The sequence below is a fragment of the Homo sapiens genome, chromosome 18 (genome assembly GCF_000001405.40).
Source record: "Homo sapiens chromosome 18, GRCh38.p14 Primary Assembly".
NCBI classification, from domain to species: domain Eukaryota; kingdom Metazoa; phylum Chordata; class Mammalia; order Primates; family Hominidae; genus Homo; species Homo sapiens.
The window spans coordinates 32,204,818-32,232,235 of NC_000018.10; the positions used below are offsets into that span (position 1 = coordinate 32,204,818).

Consider the following 27,418-nt stretch of genomic DNA (forward strand, 5'->3'; position numbering starts at 1 on the left):
GGGCAGAGGTCAAGGGAGAGTCAGAGAGAAAAAACAGGACCAAATCTGTCCTTTTACAAGGAATCCACTCCTGCAGTAGCAAACCTACTTCTGCAGCAATGGGATTAATCCATTTATGAGACGGAGCCCATGCCCTAATTACCTCTCATTAGGCCCCACCTCCCAACACTGTTGCACTGGGGATTAGGTTTCCAATACATGCTTTTGGGGGGACATATTCAAGGCATAACACCTAGGTTAAAAGAAATTAGACTTACTTATCCTGCTATACTGCTCTGAGTGTTTATTGGGTTGACAGGAATTGTAAATCTCTAAGAAAAGGAGCATTTCCCAAAATGATTTGATCATGGTCTTCTTTTTTCTTTTTGCAGAGTAGCTTGTAGAGTATTTGGATTTATTGTTTCATGGAACAATTTTCAGTAATAGTTGAGTAGCATGAACTGTTTGTGATTTTGTGTTCAAAGTCACAAAGTCTTAATAACTATGTCTGACTAGAGCTCATGTTTTCCACATTCCACAGTGACACTCAGCTTCCTCATCTGTCCTGCCTGTGTGGGGCGAGACAGAGGAAAGGGCATTGCTATTATGTCTGAGGCACTGTGAGGAGTGCCCTATACAAGGTCCCCTGACACCACACTTCTTGAAATCACAGCTCTTGCTCTTTATCCCCCGACTCTGCTTATCTCAAATGCGGTCAGGCATAGCAGCAAACTAAAAGATTTCTAGAGAAACAGCAGTGTTTAGCTTTAATCCACAGCCACACTCCTTAGGATTCCCAAAGTCTTATTTTTGATCTAAACTTCTGCTCACATTTGATAACACATCTTTATGTTTTGGAGATCAGAACCACCTTAAAGTGTCCACAGAATCATTCCATTTCAAGTTGAAATCAGTTGCCCATTAGTATAATGCTAAATGGCCTGAATGTCTTCTCTAAATATATTCATTTTTGTTTTTTATTATTATTTTAAACTGACAAATCATAATTGTATATACTTATGTGGTACAGTGATATTTTGACATGTGTACACAACGTGGAATGACTAAAACAAGCTACTTAACATAGCCATCACCTCACTTATCATTTTTATGGTGAGACATTTGAGGTTTATTCTCTTAGCAATTTTGAAATATACATTATTATTAACTATAGTCATTATGCTTTATTTATTTATTTATTTTGAGACAGAATCTCGCTCTGTTGCCCAGGCTGGAGTGCAGTGGTGCGATCTTGGCTCACTGCAACCTCCACCTCCTGGGTTCAAGTGATTCTCCTGCCTCAGCCTCCCGAGTAACTGGGATTATAGGCGCCCGCCACCACACCCGGCTAATTTTTGTATTTTTAGTAGAGACAGGGTTTAAACATGTTGGCCAGGCTGGTTCATTGTGCTTTAAATACATCTACACCTATTCCAGTAACCATGAATTATGGTTAGTCAATAACTGCATGTCAATGCTTTTTAATGACTCCTCTGTAGGATAACTAGAAAGTTATCATTCCCAGGTTTCATCTCACCATCCCTTCAAAGCCTTCTTACTTCCATCTCCATCTACTGTGGACGTCCTCAGCCTGCCATCGTTGCTGGCCAATGCCCTGACTGGTTCAACAACACTTTTTTTTTTTTTTTTTGAGACAGAGTCTTACTTTGTCACCCAGGCTGGAGTGCAGTGGCGTGATCACAGCTCACTGCAGGCTCGACTTCCCAGGCTCAGGCAATCCTCCCACCTCAGCCTCCGGAGTAGCTGGGACTACAGGCATGCACCACCATGCCTGGCTAATTTTTAAAATATTTATTTTATTTTATTTTATTTGAGATGGAGTCTCATTCTGTCACCTAGGCTGGAGTGCAGTAGTGCAATCTTGGCTCACTGCAACCTCCGCCTCCTGGGTTCAACCAATTCTCCTGCCTCTGCCTCCTGAGTAGCTGGGATTATAGGTGCGCACCACCACAATGGACTGATTTTTGTATTTTTAGTAGAGACAGGGTTTCACCATGTTGGTCAGGCTGGTCTCGAACTCCTGACCTCATGATCCGCCTGCCTCGACCTCCCAAAGTGCTGGGATTACAGGCGTGAGCCACCACGCCCGGCCTTAAAATATTTATTAGAGATGAGGTCTCACTTTGTTGCCCAGGCTGGTTAGCAGCACTTTCTAGAATCCTCCTTTCCACGAGCAATTTTTACAGCCTTAGACTAAATGCCAATGTCCTAACTATGGGCTGCAATAGAACCTTAGATATGTTCAGTGTGACTGCTGGTATCACAGTTCTAAGCTTGAATATTATATTGTAAGATGGGAATAATGAAACTGTTGTTAGTTGTAGCAAAAATTGCTTGAGTTTATTATATTCTCCATTTCTAAGTGAGCAGTATTTGGAGTAAGATAAGCTGAATTTTGTGAACATCAAGTAAAGATTTTTTATTTATCCTTTAGGCAGAGAGCACAATTTTAACACCTATAGTGACGATATATCAGATTCCCTGAATGTTCCCTATGATTACACTTCAGTAATGCACTACAGTAAAACTGCATTCCAAAATGGAACAGAGCCGACAATTGTCACAAGAATCTCAGACTTTGAGGATGTGATCGGCCAACGAATGGATTTCAGTGACTCTGATCTCCTAAAGTTGAATCAACTGTATAACTGCTGTATGTGACAGGTTCTTTGAAATGACTTATATTTTCCGCTGTTATGTAGGAAAAAATGATGGTCTGTGCCATTTTGTCAAGCATTGGTGGGGTTTCTGCGATTATAGAGATTTGATATTCAGGAAATAAACAGAATAGCACTCAGATCTCAATCTACAACTTGGAAGCAGCATTTTTCTTTTCACCACGTCTGGTGTTGAGATCTAAAAACAAATTGGGTCCTGTAGGAATATGCCTCAGGCAAGTTTTTAAAGCTGTTACTAATTCAAACCTCGGTCAGATTGATACTCACACTTCCTTTTAGCCAAAATGATATGTCTAGTTGTAATATGAATGGGATCAAATAATCTGGATTGTGGCTTAATGATTCGAATAACTAGGGGAGTATAGACTCAGGTTTCTACAAATTAGAAAATTTTTTTTAAAAAAGACTTCAGGCAGGGAGCTTATTCAGATCTACAGAATTCATTACCTTCTTTGTAGGGGTTCTGCAAATAAAGAGGGATCTTTAAGCCACCATCATCCAGAATCAGCTAGGTGTTCCCTGTAATACCAACCTGGCATTTCTAATACTGTGATAAGTTCAGTTTTTGTTACTTAGATTATCATGTTGTATGAGTGTCAATAATTGTTTTTTGCTTTTTGTAGCCTCTTCCTTGAGTTTTATGGACTCGTGCAGTTTTGAACTGGAAAATGTGTGTGGCATGATCCAAAGTTCAGGAGATAATGCTGACTGGCAACGGGTTTCACAGGTTCCCAGGGGGCCAGAGAGTGATCACTCCAACATGGGCCAGTGCCAAGGTAACAGGAGTGAGATATTCCTAGACTGTATACTCAGTGGCTACAGCCACATACTTCTCTATGAAAGAATGGGATTTTATCTCTAATTTCTATCAGAATTATTAATGATTATTCATTAGGTTACTACTGAGAAGTAGGCCTTGCACCTGATAAAGACATTGTTAATTTCTTTGCTTTTCCTTCCTGAGTTTATTTTTCTTTCTACAAGTCAGAGCTGGGCTCTGTGATGCCTCTACCAGTGCGTTCCCATAGGAGAGTGTACCAGACTGGGCCTCCTGCAAGGCCTCTTATCTCAGGGGCAGTACTATTGTTTCCTAGAAGTTTGCAGAATACAAGAGACTCTTTCCAATGGACAGCACTAGGCTGCGAATTATTGTTTCAGAACTGTAGCTGGATGTGATTATATGCTCCTGTTACAAAAATATCTAAAAAGCAGAGTTTATTTAATTTTCTTCAGATGCGTATCCTTTTCCATTTTCATTTTGTTTTGCCTTAAGTAGTTATTTGGCTACAAGGACCAAATTTTTACGTATTTGCTTATTCTGGCATCAAATATGTAAAACTAGACTTCAGAACTTAGGGCCAGTGCTTAATAGCTCAGATGATCTAGGCAGGAATTGGAGGCCTCTAATGGCAAAAAGGTGCTTTTCCTTTTATTTTTCTTTTTAAATGCATATTTGGATAGTGGATAGTGGTCCTACTCAGACCAGAGGAAAGTAGATAGGGAGGGAGGGGGAAAAGAAGAAGAATCCAGACCAGGTAGCTCTCACTTTTTTCTGTTTTTGAAAACTAATTTCTGTGGTAAGGGAAAGGTTCCCTAATGTTGTCTCTTTCATAAATCGCCTGCTCCTAGAACCATATTTAAATGCCCAACACAATTCCCTGCATATAGTGGAAACTAAGCGAATACTTGAAATAAGGTAAAGAAAATTGGGCCGGGTGCAGTGGCTCATGCCTGTAATCCCCGGCCTTTGGGAGGCCAAGGTGGGCGGATTACCTGAGGTTGGGAGTTTGAGACCAGCTGGGCCAACATGGTGAAACCCTGTCTCTACTAAAAATGCAAAAATTAGCTGGGTGTGGTGGTGCATGTCTGTAGTCCCAGCTAGTTGGGTGACTGAGGCAGGAGAATCACTTGAACCCGGGGGGCAGAGGTTGTAGTGAGCTGAGATCATACCATTGCGTATCAGCCTGGACAACAGAGTAAGACGTTGTCTCAAAAAAAAAAAAAAAATGAAAGAAAATATATATACACTCAAACCAGAATTACTAGCTGTGCCTTCTTTAGAGATGGCTTAGAAGGTTAAGTATTGCAGATAATGAAAGCAGATAAGTGGGAGGTGCCTCTGAAATTATCAGGTTCAGTTATTCTCAATTTTTTCATTACAAGTATCATTTTAAAAATATTAAAATGTGAATCTCCCCAGATGGTTGCTGTAGTTAACAATATCTTCTGAAAGTTGAATTTCTTTCTTCCTTTTCTTTTTTTCTTCCTTCTTTTTTTGTGACAGTTTGAAGCCAAAGAAGTTAGAAAGTGTTTAAAAAAAAAAGGGGGGCGGGCAGGTCAGCCAAGGCCCTGGTTTCCTGGCTGGACTCTCACCTCTGTCCGCAGTGTGTGTTCACCTTTCCAGAAAGACCTAGAAGTTCACGTTGAATTACCCTTGGGAGACACAGATGCTACAACTCTCTACCCACCCAAGTTTCAAACCCTCGTTTTGACTTAATTTCCATTTTCCTTTTTCATATTCTCAGCGGGGGAACAACCCTCTGTAGCATCTTTGTCCAATGGTAGCTCTTTCCACTTGGAGCTGGACCAGGGTTTTGGACACTTGAAAGGTGTCCCATGTAGAATCTACCTTTTAGCCCTGCTGTTTGGGCTTGACCTGCAGCCTTACAGTGGATTTTTAAAAAGTTAGCATTTGATACTTAAACTTGCTTTATCTTTATAGCTCATAACAAATGAAGATAAGCAAGGATTAGTGCCCACGGAAAACTACTATTGTAAGTAAACGTTTTATAAATAATAGAGAGGTTTGAGTTTTATACTGTTATGTCAATCTGCTAGCTTTTGCAAGTGCCAGATATGTAGCTTAGGCTTCTGTCATTTCTCCCTGGCGATTTATATATGGATGTTACTTATGCCTCGCGTAAAGAATCTAGCACCACCATTAACAAACACACATTCCTATACCCAGTATCTGTTTTTCTCTCAATTCTGCTTTTCTTTAACAGGTTCTGGTTTCTTCATGCATTTCGATAGCAGCTCTGTAAATGTGGGGGCCACAGCAGTGCTGGAAAGTAGAACGCTGTACCCTAAAAGAGGATTTCAGTGCCTGCAATTTTACTTATATAACAGTGGCAGTGAAAGTGATCAACTGAACATCTATATCAGGGAGTATTCTGCAGACAATGTGGATGGCAATTTAACCCTTGTGGAAGAAATAAAAGGTACAATGTCAACATCCTTATTGTCTGGATTTAAAATGAGGCAATCTTAGGTCTTTTCTTTAGTTAATGCAACAATTTACAATAGGGCAGGGGCTACTGAGTCACTATACTTCAACTAAGAACTAGATTCTTGTTTTAAGCTGTGGAAAGGAAGCTAGAATGAAGATTCTTTCTGAGTGCTCTGTTATGTAACACTCACTTAAGAAACTGTAGATCAGTCTCTGGCACTATGGAGGTCAGTTCTTGGCAAATAATAAAAATACAAGGCTGGGCGCAGTGGCTCACACCTGTAATCCCAGCACTTTGGGAGGCCGAGGCGGTCGGATCACCTGAGGTCACGAGTTTGAGACCAGACTGGTCAACATATAGTGAAACCTTGTCTCTACTGAAAAAATACATAAATTAGCTGGGAGTGGTGGCACACGCCTATAGTCCCAGCTACTTGGGAAGCTGAGGCAGGAGAATTGCTTGAACCCGGGAGGCGGGGGTGGCAGTTGAGCCGAGATCATGCCACTGCACTCCAGCCTGCGCGACAGAGCAAGACTCCATCTCTGAAAAAATAAATAAAATAAAATAAAATAAAAATAAAATACATAAAAATACAATGTGAACTAGCTTAGGCAAAATAGGATGGGCTCCTGGCTAAATGTTAGTTACAGCCTGTGGGACAGATGAGGGAGACACTGGCTTGAGGGGGAATTATTAATAGATCTGTCTCTGAACATTGCTGGGGACCTCTTGTTTTATCTCAGAATGGCTGTCTTTATAAGACTGGTACTTCGGTTGTTTCACTTCCCAGCTTACATTTGACCAAATTTGCTATCAGTCTGGAAAAAGGACTCTTCCTCTAATATAAAGCTTAAAAAATAAATCCCAGTGAAGAACTGGGATACTTATGTCTTAAGTTAAACACAGCTTCTGGAGCAATTCCTGAGTGGGAAATGGGTACCCACCCTTCATACCAATAATGTGTCAGAGAGGAGAGCCATGTTGACCACCTATGCAAGTAGATGGTTAAGGGGGTGACTGAGAAAGGGAGGGGCTGTGGGCTGGCAAATATATTACTGTCTATTCCACCTAATCATCTCATGACTTGAATGAATTGAGTAATTCAATTTGTTCCACAATTGGATCCATATTATGCAATATAGTATGCCATTTTCCTCCTGTTTTCAACAATGAGAAACAATCTGAAATACAGGCGATATTTTTCTTTGTGAACACCTGTAAGCAGTAAGGTTCTTAATCTCACTAAGCATATACACACATTATACATATATATTATTTATGTAACAATGTAAAATATATAAAGAATAATTATATATAATATATTATATATTACATATATAAAAGCCTTATATATAAGCCATATATGTTACTATAAATATTATATTTTATGTATTAATATCTAAATTAATACAAATATTGATATAATGTATCTGTAATATATATAATTGTCCAGGACTGGAAGGGGGGTCCTTCCTATTAGCAATCTGTGGGTTCGTCATTGATACACAATAACACAAAAAGGCACTTAAGAAGCTTGCTTATTTTCTGTCATTTGGGTATGTCTAGCTTATTTTCAAGTAACTGTGTTTCACATTAAGTGCCAACATATTTTTGTTTTAAGACTTTGTGTTAACCACTAGTTTGACATGAATTCCTCAGCTGTTGTTCATCTGGGGGCCTCTGCAGATTATTTAGTATACTGCTTCTTATTTGAGTATGTGATATAAGAAAATCAGACAGAATGGCATATTATGTGCTGCTAGCGAGGGGTATGGGCTAATAGTTGGGGAGGAAGTACAGGTTGGAAAGAAAGGAGGTGGTACCAAATATCAGATAAATACTTACAATGCTGAGTTACTGGGAAGTGATCTAAAGAGTAGATTGCAGGATGTAGGCTTTCTAGGGTTTGGTGGATTTTGTTTAATATTACCAAAAAGTTGATTGAAGACTTTGTATGTGAGGGAAGTATTCCAATCAAACTATAAATATATTAAAGAAGGCTTTGCCTGAGTATCACAGGAATCTTGAGTAGAAGTGTTACAAGTGTTGGGTTTGCTGGCCCTTTAATGGAGAATGGCAGGTAACTCATAGGTAGGGCATGAAGTACTCATGAGCTAGATGTTGTTATTTACTCACCGATCTCTAGGAAAGGGTGATCTATTTGAGAAACAGCTAGACAAACGTTCAGCTATTCCAGAGAACAGTGTGACCCCACAGAAGCACCTTGAAGTAAATAATTCTAGGCTGGAGCTTTGGCAAAACCATACTTCTGACCTGTAGAAATAAATCGGTTTTGGATGACCCTTTGTCTAAGAAGGCTAGAAATCTAATGTTGACATGTACATGATTTGAACTTCTTTGTCTTTGAAATAATAATGACTCTTTTGCAGAAATACCCACTGGGAGCTGGCAACTTTATCATGTAACATTGAAAGTGACCAAGAAGTTTAGAGTGGTGTTTGAAGGACGCAAAGGCTCTGGTGCATCACTGGGTGGTCTGTCTATTGATGACATCAATCTTTCGGAAACACGGTGCCCTCATCATATCTGGCATATAAGGAATTTCACACAGTTCATTGGCAGCCCAAATGGAACTCTGTATAGCCCTCCATTTTACTCTTCTAAAGGTTATGCCTTTCAGATTTACTTAAATCTAGCCCATGTGACTAATGCAGGGATATATTTCCACTTGATCTCTGGAGCCAATGATGATCAATTACAGTGGCCATGTCCTTGGCAACAAGCCACAATGACACTTTTGGATCAAAATCCTGACATTCGACAGCGTATGTCCAATCAGCGGAGTATAACTACAGACCCATTTATGACCACCGGTTCGTAACTCATTTTCTTTATTGCTAATAAACAATCATTGCTCTAGGAGGGACTGATAATTTTGGGAATGAGGGATTGCACAGTTAGTTACCTAGGGAATTTTGAGCCCCAAATCTTAAGAACAGATATTTAGGGGAAAGGTTTCAAGAATTGTGGACTGAGTCTGTCAGACAGGAGCTCATCACAAATGTCAGCAAGGACTCCAACAAATGCTGACTGTATTCCTAAGAACTGATGGCCCTTCTCAAATTTCCACTTCTGTGCAAGAAGTGTTGGTTTTAGAGTCTGACATGCCTGAGTTCAAGTCCAAAGTTTGCTTCTCATTAGTTATGTAATCTTGAGCAAATAATCTCTTAGGGCCCCAGTGTCCTCAGCTGTAAAGCCAGGGCTGTAGTAATCATTCCACAGATTTGCTATGAGAATTAGTACAGGTCAAGTGTGGAAGCTGTGGAAAGGCCTGCGGTGGAGAGGCCCTCAGATGTTGGGTTCTTCTAACTCATGCTACCTTGTTCACGTCACTGGGATTGTCAAAAATAATTCAGCGTTTGAAATGGGGGTAGTTTTTGACCAGAAGGAAGGTATTGAGCAGGTGCATTCAAGTGTTGGTGGGAAGGGTATGAAAATGCATTATAATTTCTTAGTAAAAAGTTACAGAGGACTTGCTAATCATGACATCATTCCCCATCTTTCCCATCTCAAAAAGAAGCAACCCACTGAAAGCAAAGATCACACTACTAATTTTAATAATTCTTTGCTTCTGAGACCCTAGTAAAGGAAAAAATGGAATTATGGCAAGCTGAATAATTTTGCCAAATGTGAATTCTATATATGAAAAACATGGACCAAATCGACATAGAAAAAAATCCAACTTAATCTCATAGGAAAACAATAATATTCACCAATGGAATTGTAGGGACTTGACATTCAGAATTTCTTCACTTTTTCCTAAAGTGTTTCTTACTAAATGACATTAAAAACAGCTCAGGGCTGGGTAGGTCATTATCTTTTCCCAGAAGCAGTGCTTCTTGTTGTCTTCTACTTCTGAAGCACTTTGCTCTGTTAGGTGAATAATTCAGTTAATAAGATAAATCATCCTATGCTGATATTAAAAACTCTCTCAGCAACATATTGCTTTAACTGGACAATCTGTAACTTTGTAAAAGGACTCTCTTAGTAGCCTTGAAGCCTATTCTAAATTATTCTAATAGATAGGAGGGTTTCTATACTGGCCAATAAGTAAAGATATGATATTCCCAGGAATATCTGGTACCTAGGAAACTTCTGGTACCTCTCCACTCTTATTCTAGAGTGTGGTCCTCCCTGCCAGGCAATTTCATTTCCTCTAGGACAGTATAAATGAACAAGCCCCAGTGATTTGCCAGGGAATACATCACAGGTCAATAGCATCATTTAATTATTTTGAGTTCCAGCCTAATTGTGTTTCACATTGCCTGTTCTTTCCTACCACCAAAAGCTACGATGATGATAAACACACTCCATTAATATAAATTGCTTTTTCAGATAATGGAAACTATTTCTGGGACAGGCCTTCTAAAGTGGGAACAGTGGCTTTGTTCTCTAATGGAACTCAGTTTAGAAGAGGTGGGGGCTATGGAACCAGTGCCTTTATAACCCACGAAAGGCTGAAAAGCAGAGATTTTATAAAAGGAGATGATGTTTATATCCTACTGACAGTGGAAGGTATGTCAATAAAAATAGTTTTATATAAACTAGTTTTTTTTTGTTGTGGCCACTGATTATTTTCTGTTTTTCTTTCTGCATTCCACTTTTAGATGTATTATATAGAGATGTGGGGGGAATGGGCATGAATGGGGTTTGGGAGGAATATGAATTATTAACAATATGAAAATAATTTAATTTGAAACAGTGAGGATTCCAGAATAAAGAATTTAATGACCACCACATGAAGCTATAGCGGAAACCTTTAGGTTGGGAAATTTCTTTAGAAATAAGTTAAAATAGGCCGGGCGCAGTGGCTCATGCCTGTAATCCCAGCGCTTTGGGAGACCGAGGCGAGTGGATCACGAGGTCAGGAGATCGAGACCATCCTGGCTAACACGGTGAAACCCTGTCTCTACTAAAAACATAAAAAATTAGCTGGGCGTGGTGGCGGGCGCCTGTAGTCCCAGCTACTCGGGAGGCTGAGGCAGGAGAATGGTGTGAACCCGGGAGGCGGAGCTTGCAGTGAGCCAAGTTCGTGCCACTGCACTCCAGCCTGGGCCAAAGAGCGAGACTCCGTCTCAAAAAAAGAAAAGAAATAAGTTAAAATAGAACTATTATACCCTAGGATTCCTGAAATAAAAATATCACACAAGCACATGAAATTAAATGACTGGAAACGTCTGCATCTTACCTGTTTCAAATGTACATACATGCATACATATATGCATATATATATATATATATATATATATATATATATATATATATATATATATCTTGACAGAAATGACATTAATCTCTTGTTAGACTAATGTTAAATTTCTTACACCTGGCAGCCAATAAATACATTTTGCAGCAATTCTGGTGGTTTCTATTTTTTATGTGGTAGGATTTTAACTCATTTTCTATTAAAGACCCACTTGGATCTCAGTAAATCAGATTCTTGTTTGTGATGAAAGGTGGTGCAATTAAAACCCACAAAATTTTGACTCCAGTGTCCATTAGAGTAAATCTAGATGATACCTCTTGGAGAGATTATTCAGAAATAACTTCTGTTAAGAGAGAAAATATTTTATGTAGCAGAGAACAAAAATCAGTATGCATCAGTTCTCTTTGACCATAGCGATTTCAACCAGAAGCAATAACAAATACTGCAAAGAATGTAACACTGGTTGTCAGGGCACTTGGTGTCTTGCTCCAAATCTCCACCAATTTGCTCTACCAAGCCAGAGACCTGTGACCTTGGGCAATGCCCTCAATTACTTTACATTTCTGAGTTTTGGTTTCCTTATCTGTCTCTTGAAAGTTGGTATCAGTGGCTTGTACCCTTCTGGGCTCCCAGAATCCAGGCCAGCATGTGGTTGAGTTGGAGCCCCAGTAGGCTGGCCTAGTTTCCCTTTGCCTAGTTCTTATCTCGCTGCCTATGAATGTTGCTAGACTGTGCTTCAAGGATACCTGAATTTCTCACAAGCCTAAAATCTGATCATTGTCTATTCTGAAACTTAAGATTGGGCTTGGCATCATGGCTCACGCCTATAATCCCAGGACTCTGAGGCCGGAGTGGAAAGGCTGTCTGAGCCTGGGAGCAAAGACCAGCCTGGGCAACATTGCAAGATCTCACCTCTAAAAAAAAAAAAGAAAGAAAGAAAAAAGGAAAAAAGAAACATTAAAAGAAAATGAAAATTAAAGATCAAATGATTGTTAAACAAAAGCTGATTTCCATCCACACTCTTCCCCATCTTCCTAGACATATCTCACCTCAACTCTACACAAATCCAGCTAACACCAGCCCCTAGTGTTCAAGACCTCTGCTCAAAAACCACCTGTAAAAATGACGGTGTCTGCACTGTTCGAGATGGCAAAGCTGAGTGCAGGTAAGGATGATTTGAAAGAGATCTCTCCATTCTTTGGTTAGAAATTTTATTTCCATAATGTAGGATTAATTACTTAATAGTTCTTATGAATGAAATCAGTTGATTCTCATCTCACAGCCATTCATAGAATTTTTTTTTTATTCTCCTTTTGGGGCTTTGGATAACCTCAAGAACTATCTTTGTGATAGCCAACACAATTTTTTTATGAAAAAAATAGAACTCTATATTCTAATTGTCTGAAAAAGTCCTCATAACAGTCCAGTCATTTTAAGTGTAGCTGCCTCCATTTTCTAGATGAAGATACTGACGTTCTGAGGAGCCCTTGGCCAAGATGTGAATCTGGAGGGTGGCGGGCATGGGACACTGAGAACTAAACTTTCTCTGTTATCTGTGCTATCGGCCTTTCCTAACTTGGAGATACTGTTTTAGTATCAGATTAGGAGGAATTCCATTTTTTCTTTCCATTGTTTATACCTGTGCTCTAGGTGCTAGTCTCTCTCCAGTCCAGAGTGGGTAAAATAGTTTCATATAGCAATGACCTATTGGTGATCAAATAGACTAAAGGTGATCCACATCTTTAACTGTGAAGATTTCTGGAGTTAGATATCAACTAATAACTCTGAGTCATGCTCTCAACATGCAGGTGCCAGTCAGGGGAAGACTGGTGGTACATGGGAGAAAGGTGTGAAAAGAGAGGCTCCACCCGAGACACCATAGTCATTGCTGTTTCATCTACTGTTGCTGTGTTTGCCTTGATGCTGATCATCACCCTTGTCAGTGTCTATTGCACCAGGAAGAAATATCGTGAAAGGATGAGCTCAAATCGACCAAATTTGACTCCGCAAAATGTAAGTTGAGGCTGATGTTTGATTATTCATAACCTATTGGTGAAATCTTATGGAGAGGAACTAGGACATTTTTTATATACTTTGGTTCTTGCCTTCTTCTCTCTGTTTCCTATGCTGGGACAACTGATTTCAGATTATAAAAGTTCCTATTACTTTCACTGTAAATCAACGATTCTTAAACTGGGATTTATGGAGGTTCATTATCCTCCTGGAATTGTATACAACATTGTGTACAGTTGTGTGTGTGGGTTTTTTTCCTGGAGTGTGGGGTGGTCTGTGACCTGAAAGGCACAACTGATTTTGCCTGAAAGTTCAAACCTTCCTGGTAAAGGGAAGAGGTGGCCTGCAAGTGTTTTTGTTCTAAAGGTCTTGTAGTGGTGGTGAGCTGAGGCCATAGGAAGGGGATGCAGGCATGTTTGGGGAAGCTTTTTCATTAAAGAAGGTTCCAGTTCATTCTGGCTTCATGTGGAATAACTAATTCTAAGGCAAGTTTTCAAGTAAAGGATTTAAAGTCTTGCCTCAAAAAATCTCTAGAATGCTAATAGACTCCTGAAACGATCCTGTTTCCAGTGGGTCCCTTGGGAAGCTGACTCTGAGATGGATATTTGTACGCAGGAGGTTTATTGGGGAGGGCTCCTGGAACACGTATAATAGGCTGAGGGAGCTGGCCTGGGCAGAGGGTGAGGTTGGAATGTGATGTGGTTGCAGCTGAGGCCTCAGCCCATCCTTCAGGGAGCTCTGGAGTGGGGATGACTCCCTCTTAGGCACGTCCTGAATCGAGGGAGGGGGCCAGGCCTTTGTACTCCCATCACTGGAAGGGGGCTGCCCTCAAAGAGGGGGCATAAAATTGGGCAAGGCAACGGCCTTTGGGGGAGGGCATTTCTTGCATAACAGCCTTCATTCAAAGGGCAGGACAAAGCAGCAGTTCCCTAGCATCCACTACATACTCCAGCAGTAGAGTACAGAGTTTTACATGCAGATTCATATTCCTCTCAAAGAAGCACAGAGAAAGTGGCATAAAATCTGAGCATTACTTAAAAGTGAAGCCCTAAAATTCTTCCATTTCTATTTCATTCCAATTGGAGTCTCTGAAAATTGCTACTGAAGCCAGTCAGAAAAAATGCCCAATTAGAATATCTCCAAAAATAAAAATACTGCAATTGGCTAAAGCAAGAGTACATTTTCTTAAGAAAAACGATTATTCAAGACATACTATATTTAAAGCTACGAGTTTTTAAAGGGGACAGCCTGGTATCAAGTCAGTCAAAACATGAACAATGATAATGAACTGAAAGCAAATCGTTGTATTATCGTAGGCTGTTGTCCTATTTCCTCAACATCAGGAAGATGTTTAATGCTAATAATAAGGCAATAGATCAATTACTTCACAAAATTATTAGAAAAGTATTTAAAATATAAACAGGTTGTTTTGTTTTAAGACAACTTTCAGCTTATTTTATGACTCAAAATAAAAGGGGAAGATCAGTGAATACTTGGCCTGGTAGGTCAACCTGATGGCAGCTGTGCCTGCAAGTTCGGTCTCCTGGGCCATTGGGATGAGCCAGGAGTTGGTGCATGGAAGGTGGAAGAGTAGAAGGGCAGGAGGGGACAAGTTAACTGGGTGGATGGGATTGCCAGGATATTTCCCTGACAATGAATGGGTAGTGTAACAGCTGTTATAAGCAAGTATAAACTTGCTTAGCAAGTAAAAACTGGAAGGAGTTAAAGAAAAATGACAAAACCAAAGAGAAGAGAAAGAAGGAAGCTAGGAAGCTAAGTCAATAAAGCAGGGAAACCATGACAGTATTAGAGACATGGTAAGGATAGTAAGTGGAAACACACATGCACACACACACACACACACACTCCATAATATTACAACAGAGCTGTTTTGTTTCTGGGTCATTTAAACACATTCCTAAGGACAAGGCAGTTGACTTACATTATCTTAGGCTAGGCATTTCTACAGCTAATTCACTGGTAACAGATCTCCCAGATGTCGTTTAGATCTTAAATCAGAATGACCTTTTTTTCTGAGGCGAATGTATGTGTTCACCCTAATGTTTTAGCATCTGAATAATGTGGGCCCGAAAAGCCAGGGCTCGAAATGGAGACCAGGAGCAGGAGCCATTGCCAGCTAGGAGGGAGGCCAGGAGACTGCTGATGGGGACTTCATTTAAAGACCAGATCATTTTATTATGATTCATTTAAATAGCAGTTTTTAAATTTAGAAATTAAATCATCAATTGTTCTTTCCCCTTTTAGCAGCATGCTTTTTGAAGATTAACTCGACAATATGGCCAGCTAATGAAATTAAAAAGGATTCTTCATCATGGATTTCGCCTAAGTGATATTACAGCCACCTCATTCTTCTAAAAGTGGATATTTTTCTGTAAATAGCTGGAAATATTATAAATCACTATTTTGGTCAAAGTCAAATTGGTGAAATGCTGTTTGTGTTTCCTTCTTTTAAATGAGAGAAAAGCAATTCAGGCTCTTCTGGAAGTATAATATTGTCTAGAAAAAAGGGAGAGCAACAGTTAGAGATGGCTTTTCAAATTACTGATCCTTCCATATGGGGGCCAAGTGTGGTGTCCTCACAAGTGATTCCTTAGAAACCCACTAGAAACACCCAATGGGAATGATCATCCATGCAGAATCACAGCAGTTTCAGTGCCATCCTTTCCCAGCATTGGGAAGGGTAATGAGACAGCTCCCCACTCTCTGTCAATATACATTCTTCTCCAAAACTGGCTACTCTTGTTTTCTTATATAATCCCTTTGGTACATGAGCTTGGTTTAGAATTTGTTTGAGCATACGACTGTAATCAGCAAGAAAACCTTTCACTCTTTGAGTGGCAAGTCTCCAAGTTTTGGATCTCAGGAATCTTTACACTTTAAAAATTACTGAGGATCTCAAATAGGTTACTGAGGATCTCAAATAGATTACGGAGGATCTATTTTGCTTATGAGCAGTTCATTGATTTAAATAAGTGTTTATTAGAAATTCAAACCAGGAAAAACTTAATGTATTTATTAATCACAAAAAATAAGCCCCTTATATGCTAACATAAATATGAAAAGTCGCTATATTTTTCAAAACAGGAGAATATTTAGCAAAGAGAGGGGCATTGGTTTACATTTTTTGGGAAAATCTCTAATGCCTAGCTCAATAGAAGACAGCTGAGTTTTCACAGATGCTTCTGCATTTATTCTGTTGTGATATATTAATTTGTTTGAAGGATGTGAAGAAAATCTAACCTCACACAAATATGTACTTGGAAAAAGGAGGCATATTTGAATAGCTTTCTCAGGTAAATATGAATATTCTTTTGAAATAATTTTGTTAAAAGTTGACAATGGTAACTTCTTAAAGGTTAGTTGCAATCAAAATCCGAAACCATATCAATGAACTTTTGTATTCCGTCCTGTAAAATCCATTAGTCTATCCTGTATTTTGAGTCTTTCAGCTATGTCTCATATTGCAATACTGTGCATTGATCATTTAGAAAATATTGGTTCACTGAGTTCTGCAGCTTTTACAACATTTGACACATTTCATTATGCAGTATGAAAACAACATTAGTTAATTGCACTACTGATCTCATTTTAAAGTCTTTCATGCCTGTAACCCCAGCATTTTTGGGAGGCCGAGGCAGGTGGATCACTTGAGTCCAGGAGTTCGAGACCAGCCTGGACAACATAGGGAGACTCTGTCTCTACATATAAAAAAAATTATCTGGGTATGTTGGCACATGCTTGTGGTCCCAGCTACTTGGGAGGCTGAGGTGTGAGGATTGCTTGGGCCCAGGAGGTCAAGGCTGCAGTGAGCTGTGATTGCACCACTGCACTCCAGCCTGGCGGACAGAGCAAGACTTTGTGTTGAAATAAATAAGTAAATAAATGACTAACCCCCCCCCAAATTAAAAAATATATATATATTTTTAAAGTCTTTAAGTCTTGGGAAATTGTTATGCTCATGGTGGCAGAAACAAATTTTCCAAAATTTTAACTTTTGTTTGAAAGATTAAATTTTATCGTTGGCAACAAATCCCGTCTTTCTTGTAGCATCAGGATCACTTTACTCAATTTTTTAAATTCAAATTTTATTTTGAGATAATTGCAGTCACATACAGTAATATGAAATAATTCAGAGAGATCTGTCTACCCTTCACTCGGTTTCCCCTAATGGTAACATCTTGCAGAACTATATATACTACAATAGCATAATCAGGATATTGACATTGATACAGTCAAGACACAGAACATTTCCACTACCACAGGAATCCCTAAAGTTGCCTTTATAGAGCCACATCCATTTCCCTTTTCTCCCACCTCCCGTTTATTCTCTGGCAACCATTAATATGTTCTCTATATCATTTTGTTTTTTTTTAAAACGTTCTATTAATAGAACCATTCAGTGTGGCACATTTTGGAATTTGCTTCCCCCTGCCCTCTCAACTTAATTCTTTGCAGATTCATCCAGGTTATCATGCCCATGAGAAGTTTGTTGCTTTTTATTGGTGTTGTCCATGATATGGATGGACTAAAGTTTGTTGAATATTCATTGTTGAAGGACATCTGGGTTGTTACCAGTTTTTTGACTATTACAAATAAAGCTGTTATAAATGTTTGTGTACAAGCTTTTGAGTCTTCATTTCTCTGGGATATTGCATGTTTAGTTTTTAAAGAAACTACCAAAATGATTTGCAGAGCACTATACCATTTTGCCTTCCCACCAGCAATGGATGCATGATCCAGTTTCTCTGCATTTTCTCCAGTTCTTGGTATTGTCATGATTTTTTAAAAATACAGTTTATTTTTTAGAGCAGTTTTAGATTCACAATGAAACTGAACAAAAGTACACATACCTCTGTTTCCACAGATACACAGCCTCCCCCGCTATCAACATCCTGCACCCGAATGGTACATTTGTTACAATTGATGAACCTTCATTGACACATCAGTATCACTGAAAGTCCACCATTTACATTAGGCTTATTCTTGGAGTTGTACAATCTATAGGTTCTATAAGTGTATAATAACGTGTATCCACCATGGTAGTATCATACAAAATAGCTTCACTTCCCTAAAAATCCTCTATACTCTGCCCATTCATCCTTCCTCCCCACCAACCACTGGTAACCACTGAGTCTTACTGTCATCATAGTTTTGCCTTTTCTAAAATATCATAGAGTTGGGATGATATGGTATGTAGCCTTTTTAGATGCATCTTTTTCACTTATCGTCAGTATTTTTTTATTTTAGCCATTCTGATAAATATGTGGTGATATTGCATCATGGTTTTCATTTGCAGTTCCTAATAGCTAATAATATTGAACTTATTTTCATGTGTTTATTTCCCATCTGCATATTCTCTTGAGTGAAATATCTCTTCATGTCTTTTGCTCATGCTCTAATCATCTAATCAGATTTTTTTTTTTTTTTTTTTTTTTTTTTTTTTTTTTTTTTTAGGCAGTCTCACTCTGTCGCCCAGGTTAGAGTGCAGTGGTGCAATCTTGGCTCACTGCAACTTCCGCCTCCTGGGTTCAAGTGATTCTCAGCCTCAGCCTCTTGCGTAGCTGGAATTAGAGGTGTGAGCCATCATTCCTGGCTCCAAGCTTTTTTGTTCTTACATTATTGTATTTTGAGAGTTCTTTACATATGCTATATACTATTCCTTTGTCAGATATGTCATTTAGAAATACATTTTCCCACTCTGTAGCTTATCTTTTTATTCTCTTAACAAGGTGTTTAGCAGAGCGAAAGTTTTAAATTTTGATGAAATCCAATTTATCAATTTTTCCTTTTAATGGATTGAATTTTTGGTGTAAAGCCTAAGAACCCTCTGCCTAGCCCTACATCCTGAGGATTTTCTCCTATATCTTAAAAAAAGTTTTATAATTTTATGTTTTACATTTAAGCCAGTAATATAGTTTGAGTTAATTTTTGTATAAGGTGTGAGGTTTAGGTTAAGACTCATTTTTTTGGGGGGGGGGATGCTTATGGATGTCCAATTGCTACAGCACTATTTGTTGAAAAGCTATCTTTCCTCTATTGGTTTGTTTTTGCATTTTTGTTTAACATATTTGTGTGGGTCTATTTCTAGATTGTCTATTCTATTTCATTAATCTATGCATCTACTCTTCTACCAACACCATAGACTTTTGATTACTATATAGTCTTGATTATATAATCTTTCTCTGCCAATGCCATACAGTCTTGATTACTACACATATACTATAGCTGTGTTGTAAGTTTTAAAATTGGGTAGACTGATTCCTCCCACTTTATTATTTTTTCTTCAAAACTGTTTTAGTTATACTAGTTTCTTTTTCTTTCTACATAAATTTTAGAATAATCTTGTCTATATCTGAAAAAAGCTCTTGCTGAGATTTTGACAAGAATTGAATTAAATCTGAATATCAATTTTGGGAGAATTGACACCTTTTTACTAAGTTGAGTCTTCCAATCCATGAGCATAGTTTCTCTCTCCCTTTCTTATGTTCCTTTTTGATTTCTTTCTTCAGCATTGTCTAGGTTTCAGCATACAAGTCCCGTGCATGCTCTGTTAGATTTACATCTGTGTGTATCTCATTTTAGGAGTAACTATTTTAATTAATTAATTTATTTAGAGATAGAGTCTCGCTCTGTCACCCAGGCTGGAGTGCAGTGGTGCGATCTCGGCTCACTGCGACCTCTGCCTCCCAGGTAGCTAGGATTGGCCTCAGCCTCCCGAGTAGCTGCCTCAGCCTTCCGAGTAGCTAGGATTACAGGCGCCTGCCGCCACACCTGGCTAATATTTTTGTATTTTTGTAGAGACGGGGGTTTCACCATGTTGGCCAGGCTGGTCTCAAACTTCTGACCTCAGGTGATCCACTGCTTCTGCCTTCCAAAGTGCTGGGATTACAGGTACAAGCCACCACGCCCAGCATTGAAACTATTATTATAAATGCTATCATATTTTAAATTTTGGTGCCCATGTGTTTATTGCTACTATATAGTAATGTAACTGATTTTTATATATTGAACTTGTGTCCTGAGCTAGCTTAATTCTAGGAGAGTTTTTTTTTTTTTTTTGTAGATTCTTTGAGATTTTTTTTTACTTAGACGATCATGCTATTCACAAATAGGGACAGTTTTATTTTATTTTTTCTAATCTGTATGCCTTTTATTTCCTTTCTTGCCTGTTGCACTGACTAGAACGTCCAGAACTACACTGAATAGAGTGATGAAAGTGGATGTTCTGGCCTAGTTTTCAGTCTTGGAAAAGCATTCAGTCTTTCATTATTAGGTATAATGTTATCTGTAGGATTTGTATAGATTCTCTTTTTCAAGTTGAGGAAGTTTTTCTCTATTTCTATTTTTCTGGAAGTTTTTATCATAAATGAGTGTAGAATTGTTTTCAATGCTTTTTCTGTACCAATCTATGTAATCATGAGATTTTTATTCTTTAACTGGTTAATACTGTGGATTACATTGATTGATTCTGAATATTGAACCAATCTTACTTCCTGGAAGAAGCCACACTTGGTCATGGTGTATGATTCTTTTTATGTATTGCTGAATTGTATTTGCTTATATTTTGTTAAATATTTTTGCCTCAATTCATAAGGGATATTGGTCTGTTGGGTTTTCTTTTTTGTTTTTCTTTTTGAGACCGAGTCTCACTCTTGTCACCCAGGCTGGAGTGCAGTGGCATTATCTTGGCTTACTGCAACCTCTGCCTCCCAGGTTCAAGCAATTCTTGTGCCTCAGCCTCCCAAGTAGCTGGGATAACAGGCGCCCACCACCACACCCAGCTAATTTTTGTATTTTTAGTAGAGACAGGGTTTCACCATATTGGCCAGCCTGGTCTCGCACTCCTGGCCTCAAGGGATCCACTTGCCTCTGTCACCCAAAGTGCTGGGATTACAGGTGTGAGCCACGGCACCCGGTCAGGTTTTCTTTTTCAGTACTGTCTTTATCTGGTTTTGATATCTGGATACTACTAGCTTCTTAAAATGAACTGGAAAATGTTGGCTCCTCTTCTATTTTGTTGGGGGAGAGGGAAGGGATTGTGTAGAATTGGTGTTAATTCTTTAAATGTTTAGTAGAATTTTCAGTAAAACCATTTGGGCCTGGAATTTCTTTTGGGGGAGTTTTAAAATTATGAATTCAACTTTTTAAAATAGTTACAGGGCTAGTCAAATGATCTATTTCATATTTCATGAAGGTTATAGTGGCTGTATTTCAAAAAATTTGATCAACTTCTTCAAAGCTGTCCAAGTTATGTGTGTATTGTTGTTTGGTGGAATTGCTGGGCCACATGGTAATTTTGTGTTAACTTTTTGAAGAATTATCAAATTATTTTCTATAGCAGCCGAACCATTTTACGTTCACACCATCAATGTGTGAGAGTTCCAAATTCACCATATTCTTTCCAATATTATTTTCTATTTTTAAAAGTTGTAACCATCCTAGTGGGTGTGAAGTGGTATCTTGCCATGGGCTCACCATTACTTTTGCACTAGGAGTTCAAATGTAAACACAGTGAAAGAGGCCAATAACATCTTAGCAGTAATAGGAAAATATTTTGAATCTCAATGACCCATGGAAGGATCTCAGAGGTTGCAGGGTCTGTGAACCACCCTTTCAGAATAACTGCCCTAGTTGAACTCTATGCAGGCAGTAATAGTAGACCTTTCTTTACCTGGCTAGTGACATTTCAGATGATTTTTCATGGCTTCTTACCTTTCATAAGGGGTAAATATGGGGTTAGTGGTTAAGACCATGAGCTTTTGCATCAGATAGACCTGAATTTCAATCCTGGACCAGTAATTACTGTTATGCAATTTTGGGAGGCTTCCTAATTCTCTGAGCCTCAATTTCCTCAGCTATAAAATGGGAACAATAATCACTGCACCATGGAATTCCTATGAGGTCAAATAAAATAATAAGTACAGATTTTTTGGTATGTAGCAGACATTCAACAAATGGTAGATATAAAAAGTAGGTAGTTTTAAAAGTGTGATGTACTTTATTACCTAAACAGGAACAATTTTGAGGGTGAAAAAGGTGATGTAAAAAATGACTGTGGGCTGGGTGCAGTGGCTCAAGCCTGTAATCCCAGCACTTTGGGAGGCCAAAGCAGGCAGATCACCTGAGGTCAGGAGTTTGAGACCAGCCTGGCCACCATGGCGAAACCCTGTCTCTACTAAAAATACAAAAATTAGCCAGGCATGGTGGTGCATGCCTGTAGTGCCAGCTACTCAGGAGGCTGAGGCAGGAGAATTGCTTGAACCTGGGAAATGGAGGCTCCAGTGAGCCAAGATCACACCACTGCACTACAGCCTGGGCTTCAGAGCAAGACTTCACACCAAAAAAAAAAAAAAAAAAAAAGACTGTGGACAGCAGACTTTGGCTGTCCCTGGCAAACCTGGAAGTGTGGTCACCCCCAAAAAAGGAAGGTGTAGCAAGTCACTTTAGTGACAGAAGAATAATTGTGGCCCACATGCTGGTGGTGAAGGTGGAGACTCTGGAGCCAGATGGCTTGGGTTTGAATCCCAGCCACACACTAACTAGTTGTGTGCATTTAGACAAGTTACTTAATGTCTCTATGCCTTAATTCCCTCATCTCTATAATGAGTAATAAAAATACACATCTTGTAATGTTGTTGCAAGAATTAAATTACATAACACATGTAAAGTGTTTAGAACAGTGTTTGGCACACCATAAGCTCTGTGTAAGTAAGAATGGCTAGTGCTAGAAGAGGAAATATGAGGGGATGATAGAAAGCAGGGGGCGGTAGAAAAGCAGGAGGAAGAACATTAGAGAAAAACAGATTATTCTCAGTGAACTGGGGAAAGGAAGGAGGAGGATGAAGAGGGGGAACTGAATAAAAGTAGTTTTTCAATAGATGATATGGTTTGGCTCTGGGTCCCCACCCAAATCTCTTCTTGAATTGTAATCCTCACTTGTGGAGGAAGGGACCTGTAATCCCCATGTGTCAAGGGTGGGAGGTGATGGATTACGGCGGCGGTTTTCCCCATGCTGTACTCCTCATAGTGAGTGAGTTCTCACGAGATCTGATGGCTTTATAAGGGGCTCTCCTGCTTTGGTTTCCTTTTTTTTTTTTTTTTTATTATACTTTAAGTTTTAGGGTACATGTGCACAATGTGCAGGTTAGTTACATATGTATACATGTGCCATGCTGGTGCGCTGCACCCACTAACTCGTCATCTAGCATTAGGGATATCTCCCAATGCTATCCCTCCCCCCTCCTCCCATCCCACGACAGTCCCCAGAGTGTGATGTTCCCCTTCCTGTGTCCATGTGTTCTCACTGTTCAATTCCCACCTATGAGTGAGAATATGCGGTGTTTGGTTTTTTGTTCTTGCAATAGTTTACTGAGAATGATGATTTCCAATTTCATCCATGTCCCTACAAAGGACATGAACTCATCATTTTTTATGGCTGCATAGTATTCCATGGTGTATATGTGCCACATTTTCTTAATCCAGTCTATCATTGTTGGACATTTGGGTTGGTTCCAAGTCTTTGCTATTGTGAATAATGCCGCAATAAACATACATGTGCATGTGTCTTTATAGCAGCATGATTTATAGTCCTTTGGGTATATATCCAGTAATGGGATGGCTGGGTCAAATGGTATTTCTAGTTCTAGATCCCTGAGGAATCGCCACACTGACTTCCACAATGGTTGAACTAGTTTACAGTCCCACCAACAGTGTAAAAGTGTTCCTATTTCTCCACATCCTCTCCAGCACCTGTTGTTTCCTGACTTTTTAATGATCGCCATTCTAACTGGTGTGAGATGGCATCTCATTGTGGTTTTGATTTGCATTTCTCTGATGGCCAGTGATGGTGAGCATTTTTTCAGGTGTTTTTTGGCTGCATAAATGTCTTCTTTTGAGAAGTGTCTGTTCATGTCCTTTGCCCACTTTTTGATGGGGTTGTTTGTTTTTTTCTTGTAAATTTGTTTGAGTTCATTGTAGATTCTGGATATTAGCCCTTTGTCAGATGAGTAGGTTGCAAAAATTTTCTCCCATTTTGTAGGTTGCCTGTTCACTTTGATGGCAGTTTCTTTTGCTGTGCAGAAGCTCTTTAGTTTAATTAGATCCCATTTGTCAATTTTGGCTTTGGTTGCCATTGCTTTTGGTGTTTTAGACATGAAGTCCTTGCCCATGCCTATGTCCTGAATGGTAATGCCTAAGTTTTCTTCTAGGGTTTTTATGGTTTTAGGTCTAACGTTTAAGTCTTTAATCCATCTTGAATTGATTTTTGTATAAGGTGTAAGGAAGGGATCCAGTTTCAGCTTTCTACATATGGTTAGCCAGTTCTCCCAGCACCATTTATTAAATAGGGAATCCTATCCCCATTGCTTGTTTTTCTCAGGTTTGTCAAAGATCAGATAGTTGTAGATATGCGGCGTTATTTCTGAGGGCTCTGTTCTGTTCCATTGATCTATATCTCTGTTTTGGTACCAGTACCATGCTGTTTTGGTTACTGTAGCCTTGTAGTATAGTTTGAAGTCAGGTAGTGTGATGCCTCCAGCTTTGTTCTTTTGGCTTAGGATTGACTTGGCGATGCGGGCTCTTTTTTGGTTCCATATGAACTTTAAAGTAGTTTTTTCCAATTCTGTGAAGAAAGTCATTGGTAGCTTGATGGGGATGGCATTGAATCTGTAAATTACCTTGGGCAGTATGGCCATTTTCACGATATTGATTCTTCCTACCCATGAGCATGGAATGTTCTTCCGTTTGTTTGTATCCTCTTTTATTTCCTTGAGCAGTGGTTTGTAGTTCTCCTTGAAGAGGTCCTTCACATCCCTTGTAAGTTGGATTCCTAGGTATTTTATTCTCTTTGAAGCAATTGTGAATGGGAATTCACTCATGATTTGGCTCTCTGTTTGTCTGTTGTTGGTGTATAAGAATGCTTGTGATTTTTGTACATTGATTTTGTATCCTGAGACTTTGCTGAAGTTGTTTATCACCTTAAGGAGATTTTGGGCTGAGACAATGGGGTTTTCTAGATATACAATCATGTCGTCTGCAAACAGGGACAATTTGACTTCCTCTTTTCCTAATTGAATACCCTTTATTTCCTTCTCCTGCCTAATTGCCCTGGCCAGAACTTCCAACACTATGTTGAATAGGAGTGGTGAGAGATGGCATCCCTGTCTTGTGCCAGTTTTATCTATTGAGATAATCATGTGGTTTTTGTCTTTGGTTCTGTTTATATGCTGGATTACATGTATTGATTTGCGTATATTGAACCAGCCTTGCATCCCAGGGATGAAGCCCACTTGATCATGGTGGATAAGCTTTTTGATGTGCTGCTGGATTCAGTTTGCCAGTATTTTATTGAGGATTTTTGCATCAATGTTCATCAAGGATATTGGTCTAAAATTCTCTTTTTTGGTTGCGTCTCTGCCTGGCTTTGGTATCAGGATGATGCTGGCCTCATAAAATGAGTTAGGGAGGATTCCCTCTTCTTCTATTGATTGGAATAGTTTCAGAAGGAATGGTACCAGTTCCTCCTTGTACCTCTGATAGAATTCGGCTGTGAATCCATCTGGTCCTGGACTCTTTTTGGTTGGTAAGCTATTGATTATTGCCACAATTTCAGGTCCTGTTATTGGTCTATTCAGAGATTCAACTTCTTCCTGGTTTAGTCTTGGGAGAGTGTATGTGTCGAGGAATTTATCCATTTCTTCTAGATTTTCTAGTTTATTTGCATAGAGGTGTTTGTAGTATTCTCTGATGGTAGTTTGTATTTCTGTGGGATCGGTGGTGATATCCCCTTTATCATTTTTTATTGCGTCTATTTGATTCTTCTCTCTTTTTTTCTTTATTAGTCTTGCTAGCGGTTTATCAATTTTGTTGATCCTTTCAAAAAACCAGCTCCTGGATTCATTAATTTTTTGAAGGGCTTTTTGTGTCTCTATTTCCTTCAGTTCTGCTCTGATTTTAGTTACTTCTTGCCTTCTGCTAGCTTTTGAATGTGTTTGCTCTTGCTTTTCTAGTTCTTTTAATTGTGATGTTAGGGTGTCAATTTTGGATCTTTCCTGCTTTCTCTTGTGGGCATTTAGTGCTATAAATTTCCCTCACACACTGCTTTGAATGCATCCCAGAGATTCTGGTATGTTGTGTCTTCGTTCTCGTTGGTTTCAAAGAACATCTTTATTTCTGCCTTCATTTCGTTATATACCCAGTAGTCATTCAGGAGCAGGTTGTTCAGTTTCCATGTAGTTGAGTGGTTTTGAGTGAGATTCTTAATCCTGAGTTCTAGTTTGATTGCACTGTGGTCTGAGAGATAGTTTGTTATAATTTGTGTTCTTTTACATTTGCTGAGGAGAGCTTTACTTCCAAGTATGTGGTCAATTTTGGAATAGGTGTGGTGTGGTGCTGAAAAAAATGTATATTCTGTTGATTTGGGGTGGAGAGTTTGGTAGATATCTATTAGGTCCGCTTGGTGCAGAGCTGAGTTCAATTCCTGGGTATCCTTGTTGACTTTCTGTCTCGTTGATCTGTCTAATGTTGACAGTGGGGTGTTAAAGTCTCCCATTATTATTGTGTGGGAGTCTAAGTCTCTTTGTAGGTCACTCAGGACTTGCTTTATGAATCTGGGTGCTCCTGTATGGGGTGCATATATATTTTTGATAGTTAGCTCTTCTTGCTGAATTGATCCCTTTACCATTACGTAATGGCTTTCTTTGTCTCTTTTGATCTTTGTTGGTTTAAAGTCTGTTTTATCAGAGACTAGGATTGCAACCCCTGCCTTTTTTTGGTTTCCATTTGCTTGGTAGATCTTCCTCCATCCTTTTATTTTGAGCCTATGTGTGTCTCTGCACGTGAGATGGGTTTCCTGAATACAGCACACTGATGGGTCTTGACTCTTTATCCAATTTGCCAGTCTGTGTCTTTTAATTGGAGCATTTAGTCTATTTACATTTAAAGTTAATATTGTTATGTGTGAATTTGATCCTGTCATTATGATGTTAGCTGGTGATTTTGCTCGTTAGTTGATGCAGTTTCTTCCTAATCTCGATGGTCTTTACGATTTGGCATGATTTTGCAGCGGCTGGTACTGGTTGTTCCTTTTCATGTTTAGTGCTTCCTTCAGGAGCTCTTTTAGGGCAGGCCTGGTGGTGACAAAATCTCTCAGCATTTGCTTGTCTGTAAAGTATTTTATTTCTCCTTCACTTATGAAGCTTAGTTTGGCTGGATATGAAATTCTGGGTTGAAAATTCTTTTCTTTAAGAATG

At 39.1% G+C, this 27,418-nt stretch overlaps 1 protein-coding gene across 4 annotated transcripts in view; it reads left to right on the plus strand.

The window, feature by feature from the left end:
• The window catches only part of MEP1B (meprin A subunit beta), a 30,366-nt gene extending 14,779 nt beyond the window's left edge, over positions 1 to 15,587 (plus strand). Inside the window, exons 8-15 of one of the 4 annotated variants that reach the window (NM_005925.3) lie at positions 2,435 to 2,653; positions 3,302 to 3,454; positions 5,684 to 5,899; positions 8,299 to 8,742; positions 10,265 to 10,444; positions 12,174 to 12,300; positions 12,944 to 13,148; positions 15,414 to 15,587. In NM_005925.3, the coding sequence (NP_005916.2) occupies positions 2,435 to 2,653; positions 3,302 to 3,454; positions 5,684 to 5,899; positions 8,299 to 8,742; positions 10,265 to 10,444; positions 12,174 to 12,300; positions 12,944 to 13,148; positions 15,414 to 15,428 (1,559 nt within the window). In that variant the 3' untranslated portion in view covers positions 15,429 to 15,587. The remainder of the gene's footprint in view (positions 1 to 2,434; positions 2,654 to 3,301; positions 3,455 to 5,683; positions 5,900 to 8,298; positions 8,743 to 10,264; positions 10,445 to 12,173; positions 12,301 to 12,943; positions 13,149 to 15,413) is intronic. The other 3 variants (NM_001308171.2, XM_011526013.3, XM_011526014.3) reach the window with 3 other exon arrangements.
• Positions 15,588 to 27,418: the final 11,831 nt, after the last annotated feature.